Source organism: Homo sapiens, chromosome 19 (assembly GCF_000001405.40).
Source record: "Homo sapiens chromosome 19, GRCh38.p14 Primary Assembly".
In the NCBI taxonomy this organism is placed as follows: domain Eukaryota; kingdom Metazoa; phylum Chordata; class Mammalia; order Primates; family Hominidae; genus Homo; species Homo sapiens.
In genome coordinates this window covers 19,537,772-19,561,090 of record NC_000019.10, presented here as the reverse complement: position 1 = coordinate 19,561,090, position 23,319 = coordinate 19,537,772, and the positions used below count along the sequence as shown (strand labels likewise).

At 59.4% G+C, this 23,319-nt stretch overlaps 1 protein-coding gene across 1 annotated transcript, besides 8 other annotated features; it reads right to left on the bottom strand.

The window, feature by feature from the left end:
* Positions 300-799: an enhancer, noted in NCBI's record as "H3K4me1 hESC enhancer chr19:19671101-19671600 (GRCh37/hg19 assembly coordinates)". NCBI's record gives its function as "activates a minimal SCP1, AML or CMV promoter by ChIP-STARR-seq in naive H9 embryonic stem cells {active_cell/tissue: H9 hESC(naive)}" and the evidence as "EXISTENCE:reporter gene assay evidence [ECO:0000049][PMID:30033119]".
* Positions 8,521-9,080: an enhancer, noted in NCBI's record as "H3K4me1 hESC enhancer chr19:19662820-19663379 (GRCh37/hg19 assembly coordinates)". NCBI's record gives its function as "activates a minimal SCP1, AML or CMV promoter by ChIP-STARR-seq in naive H9 embryonic stem cells {active_cell/tissue: H9 hESC(naive)}" and the evidence as "EXISTENCE:reporter gene assay evidence [ECO:0000049][PMID:30033119]".
* CILP2 (cartilage intermediate layer protein 2) lies at positions 14,432-22,826 on the bottom strand. The gene is made up of 8 exons (NM_153221.2): positions 22,678-22,826; positions 21,314-21,412; positions 20,615-20,887; positions 19,845-20,000; positions 18,441-18,716; positions 18,119-18,227; positions 17,686-17,843; positions 14,432-17,410 (listed from the first exon to the last, which is right to left on the bottom strand). Exons 1-8 carry the CDS (start codon positions 22,739-22,741, stop codon positions 15,075-15,077), a joined length of 3,471 nt encoding a protein of 1,156 aa, NP_694953.2. The 5' UTR covers positions 22,742-22,826; the 3' UTR covers positions 14,432-15,074.
* Positions 15,026-15,709: an enhancer, noted in NCBI's record as "H3K27ac-H3K4me1 hESC enhancer chr19:19656191-19656874 (GRCh37/hg19 assembly coordinates)". NCBI's record gives its function as "activates a minimal SCP1, AML or CMV promoter by ChIP-STARR-seq in primed H9 embryonic stem cells {active_cell/tissue: H9 hESC(primed)}" and the evidence as "EXISTENCE:reporter gene assay evidence [ECO:0000049][PMID:30033119]".
* Positions 19,617-19,911: an enhancer, noted in NCBI's record as "tiled region #4095; K562 Activating DNase matched - State 4:PromP, and HepG2 Activating DNase unmatched - State 10:DNaseD". NCBI's record gives its function as "activates a minimal TATA promoter and a strong SV40 promoter by Sharpr-MPRA in K562 cells, with weaker activation in HepG2 cells {active_cell/tissue: HepG2 | K562}" and the evidence as "EXISTENCE:reporter gene assay evidence [ECO:0000049][PMID:27701403]".
* Positions 19,617-20,012: a biological region, named in NCBI's record as "Sharpr-MPRA regulatory region 4095".
* Positions 19,743-20,012: a silencer, noted in NCBI's record as "silent region_10448". NCBI's record gives its function as "represses an Ori minimal core promoter by ATAC-STARR-seq in GM12878 lymphoblastoid cells {active_cell/tissue: GM12878}" and the evidence as "EXISTENCE:reporter gene assay evidence [ECO:0000049][PMID:35858748]".
* Positions 20,826-21,488: an enhancer, noted in NCBI's record as "H3K27ac-H3K4me1 hESC enhancer chr19:19650412-19651074 (GRCh37/hg19 assembly coordinates)". NCBI's record gives its function as "activates a minimal SCP1, AML or CMV promoter by ChIP-STARR-seq in naive and primed H9 embryonic stem cells {active_cell/tissue: H9 hESC(naive and primed)}" and the evidence as "EXISTENCE:reporter gene assay evidence [ECO:0000049][PMID:30033119]".
* Positions 22,581-22,950: a silencer, noted in NCBI's record as "silent region_10447". NCBI's record gives its function as "represses an Ori minimal core promoter by ATAC-STARR-seq in GM12878 lymphoblastoid cells {active_cell/tissue: GM12878}" and the evidence as "EXISTENCE:reporter gene assay evidence [ECO:0000049][PMID:35858748]".

The following is a 23,319-nucleotide window of genomic DNA, read 5'->3' as shown; positions in this document are numbered from 1 at the left end:
TTTTTTAATTAGCTGAGCATGGTGGCGCATGCCTGTAGTCCCAGCTACTCAACAGGCTGAGGAGGGAGAATCACCTGAGCTCGGGATGTTAAGGCTGCAGTGAGCTGAGATCACGCCACTGCACTCCAGCCTGGGTGACAGAGTGAGACCCTGTCTCAATTATATATATTTATTTTATGTTCGGAGCTCAATTTTACTGGGAATTAGTTTTGCACTTTTTTCGGGTTTTGCTCTATTTGCTCTTTTGCTGTTTTTTTGTTTTGTTTTGTTTTGTTTTGTTTTTGAGACAGAGTTTTGCTCTTGTCGCGCAGGCTGGAGTGCAATAGCGCCATCTCGGCTCATTGCAACCTCCACCTCCCAGGTTCAAGCGATTCTCCTGCCTCAGCCTCCTGAGTAGCTGAGATTACAGGCGTGCGCCACCATGCCCAGTTAATTTTTTTGTATTAGTAGAGACGGGGTTTCACCATGTTGGCCAGGCTAGTCTCGAACTCCTGACCTCAGGTGAACCACCTGCCCTGGCCTCCCAAAGTGCTGGGATTATAGGTGTGAGCCACTGCGCCCAGCTGGTTTCTGTTTTCAGTTGAAATGTCATTAAAGACGATAAACTTCCAAAGCACTTTTCCTGCATACTGTGCGTGAGGTCCTGTTGGCCCACTGCTGTGCACGGCTTAGAGCTTGGCATCCCCCAATTCATGTTTGGGTGCTGGACGGCACCAAGAACCAGGGCCCTGGGCTCTGTGCAGCCTCGGGTGTTGCGGGGCCCAAGGCATGACTAGGTGGGAAGAGCATCCAGGGACTAGAAGCCTGGAGTCGTGGTACCTCTGCCCACCCCCTGCTCATAACCTAGTCAGCCCTGGCATGGGATTCCCTCCCTACGGTGGTGTGGCTGCGCTTTCTACCATTTGCAGCCAGGAAATGAAGGCAACTCCCATCCCCACCCTAAGTTCCTGTTGTCACATCCAGTCTGCCTGCCTCATGGCCCCCTGCAGCCCAAGACTCACAGACAGAGGGCATGTCCCTGCTCTTGTGAGCTACATTCCAGACAGAAGTTATCAGAAACACACGCAAAAGTTGGGGGGTGGGTTCAGGGCCAGTTTCCAAGAGAAGGCCTTTTTTATCTTTTCTCTTTTAAATTGTGGTAAAATATACATAACATAAAGCTTCCCCTTCCCCTTTAAAAAACATTTTTTTGGCCGGGCGCAGTGGCTCACACACGAAGTGTAATCCCAGCACTTTGGACGGCTGAGGCAGATCACGAGGTCAGGAGATCGAGACCATCCTGGCTAACACGGTGAAACCCCGTCTCTACTGAAAAATAGAAAAAATTAGACGGGCATGGTGGTGGGCGCCTGTAGTCCCAGCTACTGGGGAGGCTGAGGCAGGAGAATCGCGTGAACCCAGAAGGCAGAGCTTGCAGTGAGTTGAGATCGTGCCACTGCACTCCGTCTCGCTCTGTCGCCCAGGCTGGAGTGCAGTGGCACGATCTCGGCTCAGTGCAGCCTCCACTTCCTGGGTTCAAGCAATTCTTGTGCCTCAGCTTCCTGAATAGTTGGGATTATAGGCATGCACCACGCCTGGCTAATTTTTGTATTTTTAGTAGAGATGAGGTTTTGCCATGTTGGCCAGGCTGGTCTTGAACTCTTGATCTCAAGTGATCTCCCCACTTCAGCCTTGTGCCCTGCCAAGTATGCCATTTTTGAGTGCACAACTCAATGAAGTGAATATATTCACAACATCATCACTTCTATTTCCAAAACTTTCTCATCTCCCAAAAAAAGCCTTGTCCCCATGAGCAGTCACTCCTCATTCCCTTTCCCCAGCCTCTGGCGGCCACCAGTCTGCTTCCTGTCTCAGATGTGCCTGGTCTGGAAATTTCAGATCAGTGGGCTTGTGCACTGTGTGGCCTTCATGTCTGGCTTCCTTCACTCAGCATCGTGTCTTTGAGGTTCATCCACGTTGGAGCACGGGCCAGTGCGCCTTCTGCTTTGTGGCTCAGTCCCATCCCAACTGGGGAAGGTGCCTTCTGAGACAAGGCCTACAGGAGGTGAGCATGAGCGTACGGAGAGCACTGACCCTACCTCGAGGTGTCCACACACACAGAGGAGGGGCAGGAGGTGCCAGCCCTCGGGGGTGCCCATTAGACTCAGCATCTTCACAGCCACTCCAATGCTGCATCCAGGACAGACAGCAGTGAGGGGCATAGGAGGGTCCTGGGACCTAGGTGGTGGATGGTCAAGTGTCGCTGAGTTCGTGATGGAGGCGAAGGTGGCGCCACAGTACTTGCTGATGAAGAGGAGTCACGGTGCCCGAAGTCTCCGGTGGAATAGACGGGGATGGTTTTGAGGGGGAGACCGGTTCAGCTCCACGCTGTCAGGCCCAGGGTGTCCGTCCCCCAGCTGCACATGGGAGTCGCACTCATGGGAGAGGCCTGCTCTGCAGAGAGCAATTTGGAAGTCAACGGAGGCCAAAATATGGGACAGAAACTAGGAGAGGATGTCATAGAAGCAGAAAGAAGGACAGACACCAGGAGCAGAAGTGAAGCTCCACCAGGATCAAGAAGCCACCTCCAAGTCCAGCATCGGGTGTGACAGCTTCAGTGGAGTGATGGGGCCACAACTACTAGAAAATCGGAGGCTCTAGCCTCGTCAGCCCTTGGGGGGATTCAGAGCAAAGAGGTCACTGGGGGACATGCGGTGTGGGAGGGAAACTAAGGCTGTGAGCCCGGGAGAGCTGCTGGGCAGGTCCTTGAGGGAGGGAGAGGGCAGGACCTGCCGGGCAGCTCCTCTGGGTGCTGAGGACAAAGCGGTGACTGGATGTGCCTGCCAGAGGCTGGAGCTGAGCCTGTGGGCAGCTACGCCTCCAGCTCCCGCCCGCCCTCCTCTGCCTGTAGCGTGAATGCAGATCACGGTTCAGAGATTCAGAGCTAGGCCTCTTGGGGGGTTTCGATAAAAGAAATCCCCACCCCGGTCAAATTCGTTGTGCGCGTGTGTGTGTGTGTGTGTGTGTGTGTGTCACAGAGTCTCCCTCTGTTGCCCAGGCTGGAGTGCAGGGGCATGATCCTGGCTCACTGCAACCTCTGCCTCCTGGGTTCAAGCCATTCTCCTGCCTCAACCTCCCAAGTAGCTGGGACTACAGGCATGCGCCACCATGCCCAGCTAATTTTTGTATTTTTATTAGAGACAGGACTTTGCCATGTTGGCCAGGCTGGTCTCAACCTCCTGGGCTCAAGTGATCCGCCCGCCTCGGCTTCCTAAATTGCTGAGATTACAGGTGTGAGCTGCTGCACCCGCCCCACCCCCCCAACCCAGGTCAAATTCTGCACACAAAGTCACACTTTATTAATATTTTATATTGCACTATTCAAATGTGCCTAAAAGTTGGCTGCATGATAGTAACCAAGCCATAAAGGTGATTACAGGGACACAGGAGTCACCAGGGACTTGAACTGCCTGCTAGCTGTGTGGGTGCTGATAGGCGTCTCCACATAACAGGTGGGGACAATGAGGCTCAGAGGCTTTGTGACCTGCACCCCGAGCCCCTAGATAGGAGGAAGCAGCAGGGCGGGGGGCTCCCAGCCTGAAGGCAGTGGTGGTGGGTACAGTCTGGTACAGCCGCCCAGGAGGGCAATTTTCTAGAATCTATTCATATTAAAAGTGGACACGTTGAGGCTGGGCATGGTGGTTCAGGCCTGTAATCCCAGCACTTTGGGAGGCCAAGGTGGGAAAATCGCTTGATGCCAGGAGTTCAAGACCAGCCTGGACAACATAGTGACACCGCTGTCTCATAAACATTTTTTAAAATTAGCCAGATGTGATGGACACCATAGCTACTCAGGAGGCTGAGGCGGGAGGATCACTTGAGCCCAGGAGTTCAAGGCTGCAGTGAGCCGTGATCATGTCACTGAACTCCAGCCTGGGAGACAGAGTGATAACCCATCTCTATAAAAAATAAGAATGCATGTACCCTTTAGTCTCATCAATTCCCCTCCTGATTTTTTTTTTTTTTTTTTTTTTGAGGGGAATGGGGACAGAGTCTTACTCTGGTGCCCAGGCTGGAGTGCAATGGCGTGATCTTGGCTCACTGCAACCTCTGCCTCCCAGGTTCAAGCAATTCTCCCGCTCCAGCCTCTCGAGTAGCTGGGATTACAGACACCTGCCACCATGTCCGGCTGATTTTTGTATTTTTGTAGAGACAAGGTTTTACCATGTTGGCCAGGCTGGTCTTGAACTCCTGACCTTAAGTGATCCACCTGCCTCAGCCTCCCAAAGTGCTGGGATTACAGGCATGAGCCACCACACCCAGCTTTTTTTTTTTTTTTTTTTTTTTTTTTTTTTTTTTTTTTTGAGACAGGGTCTCACTCTGTCACCTGGGCTGGAGTGCATTGGTGCAATCATGGCTCACTGCAGCCTTGACCTCCTCGGCTCAAGCGATCCTTCCACCTCAGCCTCCTGAGTAGCTGGGACTATAACCATGTGCCACCACTCCTGGCTAATTTTTGTGTTTCTTTTTATTTTATTTTATATTTTATTTTATTTTATTTTATTTTAATTAATTTATTTTGAGACAGAATCTTGTTCTGTTGCCGAGGCTGAAGTACAGTGGTGCGATCTCAGCTCACTGCAACCTCTGCCTCCCAGGTTCAAGTGATTCTCCTGCTTCAACCTCCCGAGTAGCTGGGATTACAGGCATGTACCACCATGCCTGGCTAATTTTTGTATTTTTAGTACAGACAGGGTTTCACCATGTTGGCCAGGCTGGTCTCGAACTCCTGACCTCAGGTGACCTTCCCGCCTCAGCCTCCCAAAGTGCTGGAATTACAGGCATGAGCCACCGCACCCAGCCTATTTATTTTTATTATTAAATAAATAATTTTTTTTTGAGGGGAGGGGGGACAGAGTCTCGCTCTGTCACCCGGGCTGGAGTGCAGTGGCGTGAATCTCAGCTCACTGCAACCTCCACCTCCCAGGTTCAACCAGTTCTCTTGCCTCAGCTTCCCGAGTAGCTGGGACTACAGGCACCCACCACCAGGCCCAGCTAATTATTGTATTTTTAGTAGAGATGGAGTTTTGTCATGTTGGCCAGGCTGGTCTTGAACTCCTGACCTCAAGTGATCCGCCTGCCTCGGCCTCCCAAAGTGGTAGGATTACAGGACTGAGCCACCATGCTGGCCTACTTATTTATTTAGACATAGGGTCTTGCTCTGTCACCCAGGCTGGAGTACAGTGACATAGCTCACTGCAGCCTCGAACTCCAGGGCTCAAGTGATCCTCCTGTCTCAGCCTCCTGAGTATCTGGAACTATAGACACACACCACTACCTCTAGCAAGAGTGTTTTGCAAATGGTAGCTAAATACCTGGAGTGTGTGATCCTGACTGGGGTAACCGCCTCTGCCCGCCCTTGGACCACACATCACCCATATTGTGGGTCCAGCTGGGACGGGATGGTGGGCTTTCAGCTCTCAGCCTTCCTCATTTTGAAACAGCAAGAATTTGGAAAGTGAGGGATAATGCTTTCAATCTCTAGACACATCCAAATCTGTAGGAGCCTCCGCTGAGGGAACTGGGGACCTGCATTTTATTTAATTTTTTGAGACGGAGTCTTGCTTTGTCACCCAGGCTAGAGTGCAGTGGCGCGATCTCAGCTCACTGCAACCTCTGCCTCCCGGGTTCAAGCGATTCTCCTACCTCAGCCTCCCAAGTAGCTGGGATTAAGGCGCCCGCCCTCATGCCTGGCTAACTTTTGTATTTTTGTAGAGATGGGGTTTTGCCATGTTGGCCAGGCTGGTCTTGAACTCCTGACCTCAGGTGATAAGCCCGCCTTGGCCTCTCAAAGCGCTAGGATTACAGGTGTGAGCCACCATGCCTGACCTGGGACCTGCATGTTAAATGGGGCCACTGGCAGCGTTGTAGGGACTCCCAGTGGCCCGTGGGCACATGGATTGAAGCAAGAATCCCCAGCAGATCCCAAAACGAGTGGGGGACCATTTGAGGAGGGAGCCAGTGATGTTCTCACCTTCCTCAACGAAGTGCTAGGGAAACCAAGGCACAGAGAGGGAACCCTGGTGATGTGTACTGTCCCCTGCGCCCGCGTTCTGGATTCCCCAGCCTCCCACCTTGACCACCTACCTGGGACCCTCACAGGCCCATAGTGGCTCCTCCAGCTCCCAACAGACACCCTCAACCTGGTCCAGCCCAACCTGCCAGAGCCCCAGACAGGGCCGGAGTCTTGGGTTTGAGTCCTGCCTCTGCACCCTGCTTGCTCCCCTCTCTCCCTGAGCCCATTTGCCCCTCTATAAAATGGGCACATGTGCTCCTGCTCGAAGGGCTTGGTGGCAATCCCATGAGCACAGAAAGGTGCTGACGGCTGTGTCCATGCAGGGGTGCTCTCGCAAGGTCTGGGATTCTGTTTTTCCTTCTTGCCTTTGGGGACACCCAGGCTGGGAGAAGGGGGCCACTCATCTGCCAGGCTGGGAGAGCTGGAGGGTAGACGGGAGGTTGGACCGGCCCCATCTCCCTGCCCCTTCTCTACTGGGCCGCCAGGGGGCGATCTTACAATAGAAGAGGATCCGGGCATCTCCCTCTTCGCTGACCCCTCACTGCCCCTGAGTAAGCTCATTCCCACCGCAGGGAGGGCCTTTGCACTGGCATTCCCTCCGCCTGGCTAACTGCTGTACCCCTCCCTAAAACCCCTCGGAGCCCCCGGCCCTCCCTGGCTTTCTTTTCCCCTGAGCTGCCCCGTCCTCACCGCCAGCCGGTGTCCTGAGACCTTAGCTAAGGGGCTAGGAGCGTCCGCAGGGGCGGGCGCCTGGTCTTCCTCCTGGCACTGGTTCCCTCTCCTGGGATAGAGATGGGGCAACTCAGGCAGCCGCGGGCCTAGCTCCAGTCACTCTAGGTCAGTCGCCCCAACCCTTGGCTCGGAATCGACCCCTGCCCCAAGTAACGGGGTAAGGGGCTGGGCCGTGTGGCCCTAGGGAACGGGCTGCCCCTCCCTGGGCCGCAACCTTACGCCTGCCTGGCCCATGGGGGTTTTTTGGACGGAAGCGGGTCCCGGAGAGTGTTGAGGGATGAGGAGAGGCGTGGTGTGTGGGGAGGAGGTCTCTGGCGTCAGTCTCCCCACGTGGGTCACGGGTGGAAGTAACCTGCAGGTTTGCTCAGGCCAAGCAAGGTGTGCAGTGGCACCTTCAAGACCCCCATATGCAGTTTCAATTTCCCCCACATAGAGTTTCAAGGTCTCCCTCATAGTTTTAAGATGAAAGTTTTGGCAGGGTGTGGTGGCTCACATCTGTAATCCTAGCAGTTTGGGAGGCCAAGGCGGGCAGATCAATTGAGGTCGGGAGTTCGTGACCAGCCTGGCATCATGGTGAAGCCCTACTAAAATACAAAAAATAGCTGGGCATGGTGGTGCCCACCTGTAATCCCAGCTACTCGAGAGGCTGAGGCAGGAGAATAACTTGAACCCGGGAGGTGGAGGTTGCAGTGAGCCGAGATTGCACCACTGCACTCCAGCCTGGGTGACAGAGCCAGACTCTGTCTCAAAAAAAAAAAGATGGAAGTTTCTAGGGCCCCTTCATCAGTGCTTGGCAAGGCCCTATACCCACTCCCTAGTGAACATTTCTGTTCCCCTACGACTCCAGGGGGCATTTCAAGACCTAACACACTAGGACCCTCGATAAAGTTTGGAGGCCCCCACACTCTGGGGAGGAAATTGAGGCCCTGATTCAGATGCCTTGTCCTGGGCGGGGGGGCGGGTAGCGATTGCTGAGGGAGGGTGGTTGAGGCTGCCTGGGACACCCCAGCTCAAGTCCCTGCCCCTCTCCTGTGCGTTACTGAGGGTGACAATTGCAATTACAGAGCGCCTAACCCATGCCAGCCTTGCAGTCACCAGTTCCTGAAGAGGCAAAGGCCATTGTTGGTTTATTCCCCAGCTGGGGAAACAGGCTGTGAGGTTGAGTGAGGACAGGGCTTAGGTCTGACCCAAGAGGCAAGATTTTGCAGTCAGGAGTCTCTGTAATGACCCAGGAGGGGCTCATCTAGCACCCCTGTGCCCGCTGAGGAGACTACGGGAGCCATGGAGGGTGTTTGAGCAGAGAAGTAACCCAAGCCAGCCTTAAGCTAGGGACACTGCAGCAGGCACCCCCATGGCCCAGGCTGCAGCTCCCCCTTTGGCCACCAGGCGTTGTCCCGGCCTGACAAACGAGGTTTCCCAGGCCCTTGTCCTGGAGCCAGTGGGGAACTGGCTCCTACTTCCAGAATCTGCCACCACATCTTCAGGACGTAAAAGAAACCCCCTGAGCTTCTGTTTCCCCACACCGCCCCCCCGGCCCTCCCCCGCAAAGTGGAGCACTAATGGGACCAGCCTCCCCGGGAGAGGTCAGTGAGGAGATGCAAGTGAGGTGCTTCCGCATCCAGTGGGCACTCAGTGGATGTGTGGGCCACCAGCCCTGCCCGCGGCGCAGGGCAGACAGACAGATGGATAACCCTGAGACATGGCTGCAGGGTGAGGAACACGTTTCGCAGTGAGATACTGGGGTCCACTGGGACCTGCTGATCCTAGGGGCCTGAGGGGACATCCGGAGATCCAGAAGGAGGTGGAACCCCAGGGAAAGGAGGGAGTGCCCAGGCTGCACTGACCTCCCATCTGTGTGGCCAAGGAAGCCCGAATTTCCCATAAAAAATCAGCCTAGTTCGGAGCTTGCAGTGAGCCGAGATCGTGCCACTGCACTCCAGCCTGGGCGACAAAGCAAGAATCTGTCTCAAAAAAAAAAAATCAGCCTAGTTAACAGGCTTCCGGCTGCCTGGCATGACAGCTGGAAGGGAGTGAGCCCTCTGTCTTCAGGGGTGTGCAAGCTGACAAGGGGTCTTCAGCAGTGGCTGGCCAGGGGCTGGGCCAGGGGGCCACGCCAAGAGGCCTGAGTCTCCAAGAACACAGCAGGAGGTAAGTCACAGCCTGACCAGAGGGCACTAAGGATGGCACCGCCCAGCTGCTGGATTCCCCAGTCAGACAACAAGTTCCAAAGGGTTAGAGAACGGACATTCCTCGGCTCTGGGCGCCGAGCAGGCCACTCCTCCCTGGTGAAACGTAAGCTGGGCCTGGCCCCGTGGGCTGCGTGTTTTTCCAGTGGCTTTTTCAGCCACGGCCTGACCACAACCCAGATTCCGTTGGGTCGGCCATGTCCAAGTGTTTGTGTTCAGCTGGGCCAGATGGCAAGCGGGGCCGAGGCTGGGGACCCAGGCCTCCCAGAAGTCCTGGCGAAGCACCCCCAGGCCCTCACTCCAACATCCCTCTGCCTAGAAGCCCCTGCCCCGTGAAAGCCACTCAGCAGCCAGATAACAAAGGACAGGGGATGATCTCGCTGAGAAGTCCCAGGGGGATCTTGTATGTCCCGGGAGGAGGGGCCTCCCGGCCTGGCCAGGATTCCAGGTGCAAAGATGCAACTTTTGCCAACGCAGACTTCTTTGAGCTGCACCATTCTGGCCCGCAAACTTTTGAGTTGGTTTGGGACCAGGTCAGCAGCCACAATTGCACGTCAGCAACCAGGGCTGTGTGTGAACAGCTCTGCTTCCCTGTGGGCCCTGAGCAAGGTATGTCCCGCTCTCAGCCTCAGTTTTCTCAGCTGTAAAATGGGGATCATAATAGAATTTTCCCTATGGGTTTTTGACAGGATCCAACCCAACACACGACAGGTGCTTCACACAGCTGAAGTATCTTCTATCCCTCCTGGCTGAGTCAGTGCTGCCTCCCCTATCTGACTGGAAGCTCCCTGAGGGCAGAGGCTGGGTCCTCAAAAGGAGGTAGTGAATTGGGGTTTGTCTGTCTCCCTCCCCTGCCCAACATCCTCACAGACAAAAGGTAAACCTCAAAACCAGCATTAAGACTTTTGGACATCTGAGCTTGGTTTGGTAAACTCCTACTCACCCTTCAAAGCCCAAGTCAAAATGCCCTCTCTTCCAGAAAGCCTTCCCTGGGCCCTCCTCTGGGTTTTCCCAGCCCCTGGCCTTTGGGCTGGCCAACCTTGGCCCTGCAGACTGGAGTATCTGTGGCCAGTGCTGCCTCCCCCTCCTGACTGGGGTTCTGTGGGGGCCAGTCCTGGTGCTGAGTTTGTGTCTGATGATGCACATCTGTATCCACAGGTCTGCATGTAGCCATCACATGGGTACGTGTGTGCCCACTGTGTGTGCATGGGTCCCTGTGCTGGGCCCCAGGATGGGCAGCCAGGCCACCTCCCACCAGACAGTGCTGTCTTTATGAGGCCACAGTCAGGCTGGGATACTCTGGCTGGGCTGGGAGCTTATTCTTCCACCAACCCTCAGCCGGGAGGAACTGGGGTGGGAGCAGCCGGCCTCAGGCTCCATCGTGCTGGCCCCATGCCCTGAACGCCACGGTTAAAGCTGCAGCTCCATCTGGGGCAAGGAGGGAGGCTGGGGCCCAGGGAAGGACTGAGTCCCGAGTGGGAGCCCCCGCCCCCACCTCAGAGGCCCCGCCAGGCAGCCTTCAAGGACATACCTGAGGTTTGGCAGCCCCCAGCCTAGCCAGCCCCCAGGGCTGAGTCAGCAGGAAGGGATTCAGGACTTCCCTGGAAAAGTGGCTGGGACCTTGAGGCCTCCCGCCAGTCCCCAGCCCCAGGGCCGACCCGCTCCCCAGGGCCCCGAGAGAGTGGGAGGTGCTGCCTGTGCTCGGCATGGCTTCATGTGCCTGGTGGGGCTGAGTTGTGGAGGGTCGTGGGGGGTTGAGACTGGCCAGCTGGGAGTCTGGGGGTCAAGTGTGTCCCGATGTGTGGGGTGATGATGGGTGAGTCAAAGGGGAGCTGGGCACAGGTGCGCACAGGTGTGCACAGGTATGCACAGGTGCACGCAGCTGCAGGCACCGCTACCTGACCCTAAGCGTGGGCCTTTCTCTGTGTTGAGGGTGCATCTGTCTACCCGTGCTGCTGTGATGAGGGGGGACAGTGTCCAGCGTGTCCCATGGGTCTGGTGTGTCTGGGCTCATGCTCTTTTCGAGTGCAACTGCCTATGTGGCTGTCCTGAGGGTGACAGTGTCACCAATCAGGTGACGAGAAGTTGGCTAGGAAGTATGGGAAGGAGGGAGTCATGCCCCTGACTACAGGGGACAGGGATGGGGCGTGACGAGGGCAGCGTGACCTCGAGATCGATGACAGGCGTGTCTGGCTCTGTGTGACACACTCGCCCTGCCTAGGGTAGTGTTTGTTTCCCTGCATCCACCTCCAAACCTCAGGGTCTGCTGATTCCCCGATGGCCGGGGTCTCCTCCCTCCTGCCTGCCCAGACCCCCTCCACCCTCGGCCCAGGGGTCTAGACTTAGCTCCTGCCCTGGGAGGGCTGAGGCATCGGGACATGGCATTCTCCTGGTCTGCTCTCACCCTGTGGCATCCTGCCTTTGTTTCCACCATTAAAGCACAAGCACTTCCCCCACCTGACCAAAGCCAGGTCTCCCCGCCAGGCTGGCTCCAGTCTTTGGGGTCTGAGGCTGGGTCAGACCCAACTCTGAGGGCTGATGAGAGAGACAGACGGGGCTAGGGAAGTGGTGGGTGGCCACGCCAGGTCCACGAGGCCCCAATGGAGGAGCCAGGGATGTTCAGCCAGGACAGGAGGCAGCTGGCGGGGAGAGGGCGCTGGGCTGCAGGGTTTGGACCCTGGAAGGGCCCCCAAGTAGGAGGGAGCAGACCCCAGTTCCGTGAAAGAAGCATGTTGTAAGAAGCTGAGTCCTGCACCAGCTCCAGGGGAGTCTTTGTCACGAGATATTGTGTAACCTTCTCCTGCTTCAGCACAACCCATAGCTCCCTATTGCTCACCAGAGAACTCAGGCTCCTCACTCAGCATTCGAGCCCCTGCTCACCTCCACTTTGTGTCTCCCTTCTACTGCCGCCCTCCGTGGGTCTCCCTCCTCCAGCTTTCACGTTCACCTTTCCAGCTCCCTGGTATGCCCTTCCTGCCTTGGCCACCCAGCAAACTCCTACACATCCTTCAAGACCCAGTGCTTATGTCCCCTTCTCCAGGAAACATTGCCCTTCCCCAGCCCACAGTACCCCATTTGCTGTGTGACCCTGAGAAGATTCCTCCAGCTGTGGAATGGGGGTAAAAATCATCCTCCCTAAAAGCATATTTTGGGGATCCCAAGGCAACAGATTTATACTAAATGCCCTTAAAGTGAGTTAGGCTTTGCGGGGGCTGGCTCGGAGGGCTTACAGTCAGTCAACGCTCAATGTGTGTTCATTTTTATCTCCCTCCTCTTGGATTCTGTGGTTTGAAGACTCTTGTTTTAAACATTTTACTGTTCCAAGATTTTTTCCCCATCATGGTGCTAGGAATTTTAAGAACCCCTGGTTCTAAAATTATAAAAGTCTAAAATGCCGTGGGCGGGACCAAGGGCCTGTTTGTGCCCTGAGCTGACCCAGGGTGGCTGCAGCTGGGGGTCTCTTCGAGGGGGTCCCCTGCCCCTCACTCCTCCCAGACTGAGGGGGTGTGGTCTGGCAGCCCCAATTTGGTTGGGGGGTAGACAATGGATTTACCAGGAGGCGGACGGTAGCCCAGGTTCCAGGAGGGAGGGGGTGGGATTCCTGGCTTGAGGGCTGCAGTTGGGGGAGACAGGCAGTGTCAAGAGGCACAAGGCTGTTGACTCAGGTTGATGGCGTCCTTCTCTTGGAGCCTCAGTTTCCTCATCTGGAAATTGTGGCCAAACGCTGCCCTCTTGCAGAGTTATCAGCAGGGATGGGGAGGAGCTGGACTCTAGCCCCGTGCCCTGCCCAGCTTTTGCTTCAGCCATGTCCTCCTCCTGAGATGCCCTTCCTGGCCCAGGCGTGGTGACTGGGGAGGGGGCTTCTGGAGGATGCCCGTCCACCCCTGCCCCACCCTAGGGAAGGGGACAGGGCTGGGCCAGCTGCCCGCTCCATGCCTGGCTGGCCGCCCTAGCCTGGCAGCGTCGGAGGCCCCAACACTTTCTCAATGAAAGGTATTTGGCCGTGGAGCCTGACACCTCATCACCCTCCGCCTGGAAAGCTGCAGCCAGCTTTGCCCGCTTCAAGTGGGAGCGCCCCCATTCCCACCCCTCCCCAGGACCCCCACCAGGCAGCCCTGAGCAGGGTTCTGTGGCAGGCAGGCCGGGAACCTAGGTTGCCTTGGGAGGGGCCTGTGCCTCTGAGCCTATCAGCTGGGGGTATAGAGACAGTAAGTTCTGGATAAATGTGTGTTCTCCCAAGCCCTGCCAGCTCCCTCAGGGACCTCTCGCCTCTCTTGCCTGTCACAGCCTATCGAGGGTGAGGCTGGGGTGCCAATGTCTGGGGCTGCCCAAACCCAAACTCCAGCAGAGCCCTTAGGGCCCACCTTCAGAGACCAGGGGTGACGCCTCGCATCTTGGGCTTCTCCCATGCCTCCAGGCCCCCAAGTCCACCCTAGGGCAAAGGAAGTGTTTCCCTGACTGAAAGGGTGAGAGCTGCGGAGGTTCGGATTTGCCAAGACCTCAGCCGAAGGGGGGATGTGGCCAGTGGACAAGAGCCAGGGACCCTCTGGGTGGAGCACTGGCCCAGGGCATATTGGGGTATGCACGTGTGAGCCTGTCTCCCCCTAGAGAGATAGGCTCTCTCAGGTCCCCTGAAGTTGCTAGTGCAGAGCTCACACCTCTAAATGCTGGATGGGTGAATGATGAGATCGGGGGTCTGGAGAGGGGAGCCAGTGAATGGGTGGGAGATTGAAGAGGAAGTGGGTGGTTGCCCCCTAAGCTAAGGGACGCTCCATACCCCCACTCCCTAGGGGGTGTCAGCCAGGGACAAGTCTCCCATCCCAGGTGCCCTGGAGGCCACTCCAGTCTTGCCACATTGATGCCTTCATCCCCAGACCCTGGGGAATCACACACCTAGAGCTATAGGGGGCTCAAACCTGCTGGGATTCATGCCAGACCCCAGGACTTCAGTTTTTCTGTCTGGACAGTGGGGGTGTGGTCAGGACAGCGCCGGCCCTGTGGAGCGCCAGGAGGACACACGTGCACACAGACTGCCAGCCAGCCGTGATTCTGCCGCCTCCAGACCCAGGGTCCTGGCAAGGTCAGAAAGCCCTGGCCTCGGGCAGCCCCGTCGCCACATGACCGAGGTGTGGCCGGGGTTCAGGTGGGTGGGGCCCAGGGTGGGGCTGCTGTGGACTCGACTGAGGAGGTCCAGGGTGGCCTGGCTTGCTGTTGCCTGCCCCAGAGGCTCCCCTGCCAGGGCCCCTCCCTGCCTGCTGTAGCCCCGGGGCATACGGCCAGGCACAGCCAAGGAGTCCAGGCCAGAGCAGCAGGCTGCCACTGTGTTCAGCGGTCACAGCCGCCCGTGCTTCTTGCCCCCGGCACCCGCGTGTGCCTCCGCGTGTTTCTGCCTGAAAGGTGTATCTGGGCCGGGCAGCCCCAGCCTCCATCCTTCCTCCCTAGAGCCTGACACCATGAGTTGGAAATAAAGCATTTTTAATTCAGCCCCCGGAGGGCCTGCCCAACGCCCCGGGCAGGTCTCTAAGCACCAAACACGTGAGAATTGTTCCCCTCAGCCCCAGAGCCTCCCCCGCATGGGAACCCCTTCCTCCTTTTCACTGGGCCCAGCCTGGACCCCACACCCCCACTCACACCCACAACCAGCTCCCCACACTTTGTTTCAATAAATAACCCCAAAAACAAAGCTCGGGGCAGGGGACCTGGTCTAGCACTGAGCTCCAAACAGGCAGAGGGGACTTTGTGCCAAACGCCAGAACTCCCAAGGGTAGAAGATTGAAATCAGGGTCAAAATACGCACGAGAAGTCAGAGACGGCTTCTGAGCTGGGAGCGGGTCCCTTCAGGCTAGGGTTGAACGTCGTCCCCTGGGTGCTGGCCCCAGAGTCACCGCAAACTCCATTCCATACCACACAGCAACAATTGTCTTCCTGGTGTTTCTACCATCGGATGCTCTGGGTTCTTGTCTGACTCTGAGTTCTGGAAAGGGGCGGGAAAGGGGACCCAGACACCTGGGGAGGGGGCTGTCTGGAGAAGAAGGAGGGGCAAAACTTCCTGGGGTCAAAGGAGTCTGGAGGGAGGTGGGAAAGCGAGGCCCCTGCCCAGGTCACTGCCGGACCCTACCCCGGCGGGTGCGGAGGGGACCTGAGGCCCGGGCCTGTGCCTGCGCCGCCTCGCTCATCTCCCTGCGGATGTCACCAAGTGCTGTCGCCGGGGACTCCAGCAGCCTCTGGAAGAGGCTGGGTCGTCCGGCCGGTGGCTCCCGGCACTGGAAGGTGACGGCTGTGCCGGCATCAGCCTTCATCTCTCTGGAGAAGCCGTCAGAGGAACCATCAAAGCAGCGGCCAATGGCGATCTCCTTGGCCAAGCGTGGGCTCTGGTCAGTGACAGTGTAGACGCCATAGTTGTGGCCCAGAGGGTCTAGGGGGGCCAGCATGGAGAAGGCAGCTGGGTCCTCCGCGGGCACCGGTGGGGGGTGCCGGGTCAGGTAATCCCGAAGGAGTCCGTTGACGGCCACGCGCCGGCAGCTGCCCTGGGGCATAATGGTCACCAGCGTCCTGTCCACCTGCCGCTGGTCGAACAGCATCCCGCTGCACTTGAACTCCACGCAGGCTGCCGAGGTGCCCGGACGCTCGGGGTCTCGCACACTCCGGGCATCCCGAAGTCCGTAGAGCTGGCCGCGGGTGCGTGGGTGGCTGCCCCCTGCGTTGTGGGAGCGGACCATATACTCCTGGGGACCCTGGATCTTCACCTTGAGGAAGCAGGCCCGGAACTCCTGCGGGTTGGGCCACCAGGCCAGGAGATCGCCAGTCCAGGAGGCAGGTGTGCCCTCTCGGAAGGGGACCACGTTGTACTCGTACTTGTCCGCCTCCACCCTGGCGAAGCGGAAGTGGCTGGCAGTCACCGGGGCCCCCTGGCATTCCCGCAGGCTGCGCCACGGGTACACAGGCCCATTGGCCTCGGCGGGGTCACCTGGCCTGGGCTTGGCGAGGTTGATGCGGAAGCCGTTACGCTTGAAGGCGGGATCGTCGTGGTCCGTCCGACGGTACCCCAGCCTGTCCAGGTAGGGCTGGGTGACGCCCACGGTGGCCGGGAGTGGGCGGGGCAAGGAAGGGGCCGGCTCCAGCTCCTCGCCGCCCAGGGTGGCGGTGACCAGGGCGGTGTAGGCGTCTGGCCTGTCGGCGTCGCAGAAGGCGGGGAGGCAGGCGCCATTGGGGCCGGTGACCGCGCTGTCAAAGCGGCCCCAGGCACGGGGGTTGGCGGAGAAGCCGGGGGCGGGCTCCAGATTGACCAGCGTGACCACCACGCCCTCCACCTGCTCGCTGGGGGTGAACTTGTCGTTGGCGTAGGCGCGCACCTTCACGAAGCAGCGGCGGCGCTCAGGCACGTCCAGATTGAACAGGCGCCGCTCCCGGATCTCCACGTTGCCCACCAGGAAGACGCGCTCCTCCCGGCGCACCCGGGGGCCCGAGGACCCCTCGCGCCGGAAGCCGCTCTCCTCCTCCCACAAGCCGGTCTCGGGGTTCAGCGACCACAGCTTGAGGGCCTCCACGTGGCCTGGCATGTGGATCTGGCTGGCGGCCACCCGCACGGCCACCGGCCCCACCTGCAGCTGCTCCGCGGAGCCGGGCGCACGGAGGTCCACGGAGAACATGCCGTAGGTGCGCAGTGGAGCCAGCTCGCCGTCGCTGTCCACGAAGCGCAGGTCACTGGGGGCAGACGCCGCCGAGGTGAGGTCTCGGGGGTCCACGAACGTCACCCGGGCCTCCACAGGCCCCGAGTAGGGTTTGCCGTCGGCTCTGCGGAAAGCGCCAGAAGGCAGGACCAGCTCGCCCAGGGGCGCCTCATCTTCCAGCTCGCCCAGGGGGATCGTGTTGCTCTGGCTGGTATGTAAAATGACCGGGGCTTTCTTCCGCATGGCCTTGACCTCGTGGTACACGCCGGCACCTCGAGGATCAAAAGGCAAGACCCGGACAGCGTCCATGAACTCACCGCTGGGGTCCACAAAAGTCACCACCAGCCGCTGGGTGGAGGGCGGCACCTCAATGGTAAAGTCGCCCTGGTAGGCGGTGAAGCCGATGGGCTCCTGGCCCAGCAGAATCCTGGCGAAGCGTAGCGGCTCCCCGGAGTCAGCAGCCACAACACGGCCCCGGACCAGCCCCCGAGGGGGCAGACACTTCTGGCAGCCACACTCTGCCACCACCTTCACTGGGAGGACGTAGCCAGGGCAGTGAATCTCCCTTCTCTCCAGACGGCGCACAGAGCAGCAGCGGGAGCTGGCGTCCCCGCAGCGGGGGCTGGAGCCTGCCAGGCTGGGGCAGCGGGTGTCGGGACAGAGGCCCACATCCAGGTAGGCAGGGCCACTACCTGGCTGACCACAGTCCTCAGGGAGCTTGATCAGGTACTCTCGGGGCCGGGGGTCGCAGGCTGGCTGGCCTGGGGCTGGGGACAAAGAAAACATGCAGGTCAGGGCAGGGAGGAGGACTTCATGGAGGCCAAGGCTGGGGACTCTGTCTGCAGTCAAGGACTCCACCTAAGGGACAGGGGTCTGCCCAGGGTAAGGACTGAAGGTTGGTGCTCAGAGTGGTATGGGGGCTCAGTGGAGGCCTAGGATTGGATCAGTCTGAAGTGGGGGCTCCATTTGGGGTTGAGCTTAGCTACAGTCCGGGTTCCGTTTGGGTGAAGGCTTGCTCGGGGCTGTGGCCAAGGACACTCACCAAGTACAGTGAGCCGGGCAGTGCCCGAGCGCACGGCACCCGCCTCATTCCATGCCTTGCAGTGGTAGATGCCAGCCTGGTCTGGGCGCAGTCCCCGCAGCTCCAGGTGGGCCCCGTACCCATGAGCTCGCCTGTCCAGCAGGGTCCCATTGTGGAACCTGGATGGCAGGTGAGCGACACCATAGGACTCAGTGGGAGGGGCTGTGTTGCCCCCAGTCTGCAGGCTGGGGAGCTGCAGAGAGGCTTTGCCAAAGTCAGCCTCCTCCCCAGCAAGACTGGCCCCATTCAGCCTCCTTGGTAGTCCCTCTCCCACCCAATTCATTCCCCGTTAACGCTTTCCCCACTCTCCAGATGGGAAACCACATAACAACATGAAATTGAATCTAACCCCAAAGCCACAGAAGATGCCCCTGAGCCCGGGGCGGGCGCTCACCAGGAGTATTTCTTGGGCATGGGGGTCCCGGAGGCTTTGCAGCAGAAAGTCACATTCTGGCCAGCCTCTCGCACTCGGGACTCAGGGTGTTTCACCAGGTACGGCTTCTCTGGGGTCAAAGGTGGTAAAGATCAGAGCTTCTCCCACCCACCCTTCCTAGGAGCAACGTCCCCATCCTCTCCTTTCTCCCAGAAATGCCGACTCACTCTGTGCCTTCGCCAATGACTGTGTCACATCTCATTTCTTCCTCTCTTGATCGAGTGCTAGAACTTCCTCCCCAGATCCTCAGCCCCTTCATGCCCCATGTTGCAAGGGTGCTTACCCAACTTATCAAGGATGATGGTGACCACAGAGATGGATCCGTTGGCCTGGGCCTGGGCCTCCCCTGCAGAGAAGCCATCCATCTGGGCCCTGATGTTGGCGCGGCTGTCAGCACAGACACCAGGCACCCGGAAGGTTCCGTGAGCATCGCTGGTGGCCACAGTGCCAGGCTGGTCTCGCAGGGAGACCCTGGCTCCTAGCAGTGGTTGCCCAGATGGGGTGACCACCGAGCCCAGGAGGATGTGGTCCGGGCATTCACAGGTGTCAAGGCTGCACCCTGGGGGGATATGGAGAGGAAGCAGGACAGAGAAACCTTCACACTCCCTCCTGAGGAGGGCTTTCCATTCAATCAGTCACTCAACAAATATGCCTGGGGCCCCCCCATAAGGTGCCTCTCAGAGGCCTCAGCATGGCCCTGCTTGGAGCAGTCCCTAGTGTGAAGGGGAGATGGGCTAAGTGGTCAGGACTGGGCCAGGGCATAGGAACTGGGATCCAGAGACGTAGGGAAGAGGTCCTATAGGAGGGGACAGGAGAGGTAAGTCTCAAAATATGGCACTGCCCTTTCCAGCAGAAGAGAAAATGTCTGGACAGGGGCTGGGGGCCCAGTAAGGGGCTGGATCTTGGGCTGAGAACAACTGCCCCCCTTCCCAATCCTGCGGTTTCTCCATAAAATGGAAAATTCCACTGGAAACTTCAGGGCACAGGCACCGGGAGAGCAGAGCCAGGCGCGATGGGGTGGGGACCCCAACGCCCCATTGGCCACCATGTGCCCCCACCCTGTGACGGGCTCCCCGGAGCAGCCTCCAGGCCGTGTTTGTGGAGCCCAGGCGCTAGCGGAATTTCCAGTCTCCTCCTGGCTTGCCCGGTGTCTGGCCCTGGGAGGGCCTAGGCATCATGTCTGCCAGGCTGTGAGCGGGTGTCTGTGTGGGCGTGGGGGACCGGGGTGGGGGCTGCAAATGCCATGCACGTGTGCACCCTGAGTGCATGAACTGAATTCTGTTTCCCCACGAAGACATCTGTACAGTCTGGAATGCACACAGGGGAAGCACCCCCTCCTATCTGCCCATGTCTGCCTGCACAAGAGCCCCCTGGCATCCACCTGTCCAGATGTGCATAGTTACCAGTGCTCCTTGGGCCCAGGAGGGAAGGAAGGGCTGGTCTCCACCTGGCTCCAGAGTTTGGGTCCTCCAGGCTCCGCCCCCGCACCAGGCCCCGCCCTTCACAGCCCCGTCCACGAGGCCCCGCCCCCAACTAGCTCCTCCCCTCTAGGCATCGCTCAGGAGAAGCACTGCCTCTCTACATCCAGGCACCGCCTCTAACTCCACCCTCTCTCCCAGGCTCAGCCCCTAACCTCCCCTTCCTCCCCTCTGTACAGGTCCCAGCCTCCAGACCCCGCCCCTCCTACCTGGACACCGAGGCCGCACGCACTTCTGCGCCTCCAGAGGACGCCCGGGACACGCATCCCCAGCGGGGCTTGGGCAGTGGCGGCGGCGCAAGCGACGGCCTGGCCCACAGCTCCCCGAGCAGGGACCCCACGGGCCCCACGCGCCCCACGAGGCTTCTGCGGAAGGCAGGGACGGAGATCAGGTGGCCGCCCTCCCCAGGAACTGCGCCTCCGGGTAACCTGGGACTAAAGGACCCTTCTTCCCCAACCCCCTCACATATGTGCATCCAAGGGCGGACACTCCAGAGAGCAGATCTGCCATCGCCCCCACCCATGCTCCCCTAGGCGCGCCTGTCGAAGACATAGTTTAGGTACCGACCCACCTCCCCACCCCCGCATAAGGTCCCGGGGATCAGTCCTGCTTTTCTCCCTGCATCCTGCACGCATTTGGGCTCAAGACACTCCACAGAACTGAGCTCTTACAGATGCTCAAATGAGGGCAGCGGGAGGGAGATGCGTTCCAGGGGGCCGGACATGGGTCCTGACCCGCTGGGCCTCCTGACGGTGCACTTGGGCCCCGCGCTGTTCCCAGCGCCTCTCTTCAAAAGCCCCGCCCTGCCTGGCCCCGCCCCCTGACGTCGTCCTACGCCTAAGGGTCCCCCGGCTCTTCCCAGCCACGCCCACACCCACACGGTCCTGCCCCTCCCAGCCCCACCCACCACGACTCTTCCCGGCGTTCGCCAGCCCCGCCCATTCAAAGCCCCGCCCCCGTCATCCAGCCCCGCCCTCACCTAGTGGGCAGCGGAAGCGCACGTGGTAGTTGGAGCAGCGGCGGCCACGCGGTTGCTCGCGGTTGAGGCACCAGAAGCCGCGCGTGGGGTTCAAGTGCACGCGCTCGCCGACGGCGGACGGCAGGGCCCAGTCCGTGGTGCGCGCTTCCAGCGCCAGCGGTCGCGGGCACACGCGCGCTGGCCCGTAGTAGAAGCGGATGGCAGCCAGGCTCTCGAAGTCGCCGTCGCCTCCGGGGTGGTCCACGTTGAACCAGGACGTCCACTCGCTGGCCTCTGCGGGCACCGCACGCGCTGGGACCAGGGCGGCGGCCTGTAGGCCCCCATGCATGCGTGCAAAGGCCTTACTTGCTGTCTCAGCCCCCTCCCCCGGTGGGCACCGGCTAGCCGAGCGCGCCCACGACCCGAGCCAGCGGCCTGAAACAGGTGCAGGGCAGACTGGGTTCCCCGCGACCCCAGTTCTGCCGCCCAGGGCCTGACCTGGTCCATCCCGGTGCGCTGAGCTCTTGCCTCTGTCTGACCGGCCTCTCACTTAGATCTTGAACTTGGGGCATCACCTCCAGGGGCTGTCATGTCCGGGGACCAGGACGGCGCCGGGCCCTTCGTCTAGTGTGTGCCCTCTCCTCACACGACCCCAGTAGCCCAAGCCCCACCCCCAACAAGCCCGCAGCAGAGACGGGACTCCGAGGCAGGCTAACTCACCTTCCCAGTCCTCCAGGGCTGGTGAGGGCTGGCCGGTGTACACGGACCGTCTTTCCAGGCCCAGTGCAGTCGCCATTGGCTCCTCGGTGGGGGTGGCGTCTGTGGGTGAGGAGTGGGGAGAAGGAAGCACGCTGCTACTGATGGGGACCGCTGGGAGCCTCCTTTTAGGCAAGGTGCAGCCACGATCATCCCCCCCCTTTTTTTTTTTTTTTTTGAGACGGAATCTCCCTCTGTCACCCAGGCTGGAGTGCAGTGGCACGATCTCGGCTCACTGCAGCCTCTGCCTCCTGGGTTCAAGTGATTCTCACACCTCAGCCTCCTGAGTAGCTGGGATTACAGGCACGCTCCACCAGGCCTAGCTAATTTTTATATTTTTAGTAGAGACGGGGTTTCACCATGTTGGCCAGGTTGGTCTCAAACTCCTGACCTCAGGTAGTCCGCCCGCCTCGGCCTCCCAAAGTGCTGGGATTACAGGCGTGAGCCACCGTGCTTGGCCCATGATCCCCATTTTAACAGGAGGGAAAATTGAGGCTCTGAGAGGCCAGAACCCAGCTCTAGCCCCAAGGGCTGCCATACACTCTCCTCCAGCGCGCTGCCCATGACCACCACCAGGCCCCCAAAGCCAGGTACCTCTCTCTGACCTAGCCCTAACCCCCCGGCTGGGGAAGTGCAAGTACCACCCAGTTCCCCTAGGCTAGAGTCTCCCTCCCACTATGTTCAGCTGCCGCGAGATCAATCAAGTTCAGCTGGCTGTGCCTCTGCCCTCAGGCTGGGCTCCCCCTCATCCACTTGGCCTGCTGGAAGCCCCTCCCTTAGTCTGTCTTCCATCCCTGTACTACAGTCCGAGCTGCCGGGAAGTCCTTGGAATCTAGACTGGCTTCTCCAAGATAGGAGCTGTCCAAGATACTCCCAGCAGAGTGATGAGGTCAGACAAGCCCCTTCCTTCTGGGTGCCTCAGTCTCCTCACTTGAGAAGTGGGCCCGTCCCCCGCCCCATTGAGTGTTCCAGGGATGGGCATTTCTTTCTCCAGCGGTTGGAGTGAGTGCGTGTGTGGGAGTTAGGTGGGAGGGGCCAGTTCCGACCCCTTCGGTCCAGGGTGGGAGACCTGGCCGGTGATTCAGAGTCCAAACCCCGGGAGGAACCCTAGGTTCTTATCCACACTCCCGGCTTAGCCAAGGAAGAGAATGGATGAGGCCCGCTCCGCGCCCCAGGTGGTCGCGGGGATCCGACTGGTGAAGGGGACCCAGTCCCCGGGGAAGCGCGTGGGTCCCTGGGTTCTCTCCCCGAGTGCGGCTTCACCCAAGGCCGGCTGCCAGGCCCTCGGGAGCCTCAGGGGCTGGGCGCGGGGGCTGGAGGCGCCTCACCTCGGGCCCCCGCCAGGTGCGCAGCGACGACACAGAGACAGAGCAGTGGCAGCAGCGACGCCATGGCCGGGGCAGAGCGTCCGAGGGAGGGTCCGGGCTCCGCGGCGTGCTCGGGTCCAACTCCGGCGGGTCTGGCGGCCGCTGGGACTGAGAGTGGGGGCGGGATGCGACCGCAGATCCCGCCCTGGCCACGCCCCATTCAGGCCACGCCCCCTGGCCCTGGGTGACGGCGCTCGAGCAACCCCTCTGGGTCGCCCCCCTTGGTGCGTCTGGCTGTGCCTCCGTCCTCAGGCTGTCCTGGGTTCCCCGTGGCCTGCTGGAACTCCCTCCCCGAGCCCACTCAGTCCTCCAAGCTGCATCCCAAGCTGCCTGAGGGAAGTGTCACTTGGAATCCAGCCTCAAGCTGCTCGGACCCGCTTTAGGTGGCTGGAAGTCCTGTCTCGCGTCTCACTTCGATCCTATAGGCTTTAGGCCACCCCAAACAGTCTGGGAGTCCCACCCTGAATCTACCCTCCATTCTTCTGGCTCGAGTTTTCTTTCTTCTTTTTCTTTTAATTTGTAGAGTCGGGATCTTGCTATGTTGCCCAGGCTGGTCCCAAACTCCTGGCCTTAAGCGATCCTCCAGCCTCAGCCTCCCAAAGT

Excerpts from the sequence above, each read along its gene's own strand:
- CILP2 (NM_153221.2), bottom strand. The coding sequence starts at position 22,741 with ATGGCGTCGCTGCTGCCACTGCTCTGTCTCTGTGTCGTCGCTGCGCAC. Across the intron at positions 18,717-19,844 it reads CGTGCGGCCTCGGTGTCCAG|GGTGCAGCCTTGACACCTGT; the intron begins GTAGGAGGGGCG and ends ATATCCCCCCAG. Across the intron at positions 18,228-18,440 it reads CATCATCCTTGATAAGTTGG|AGAAGCCGTACCTGGTGAAA; the intron begins GTAAGCACCCTT and ends CTTTGACCCCAG.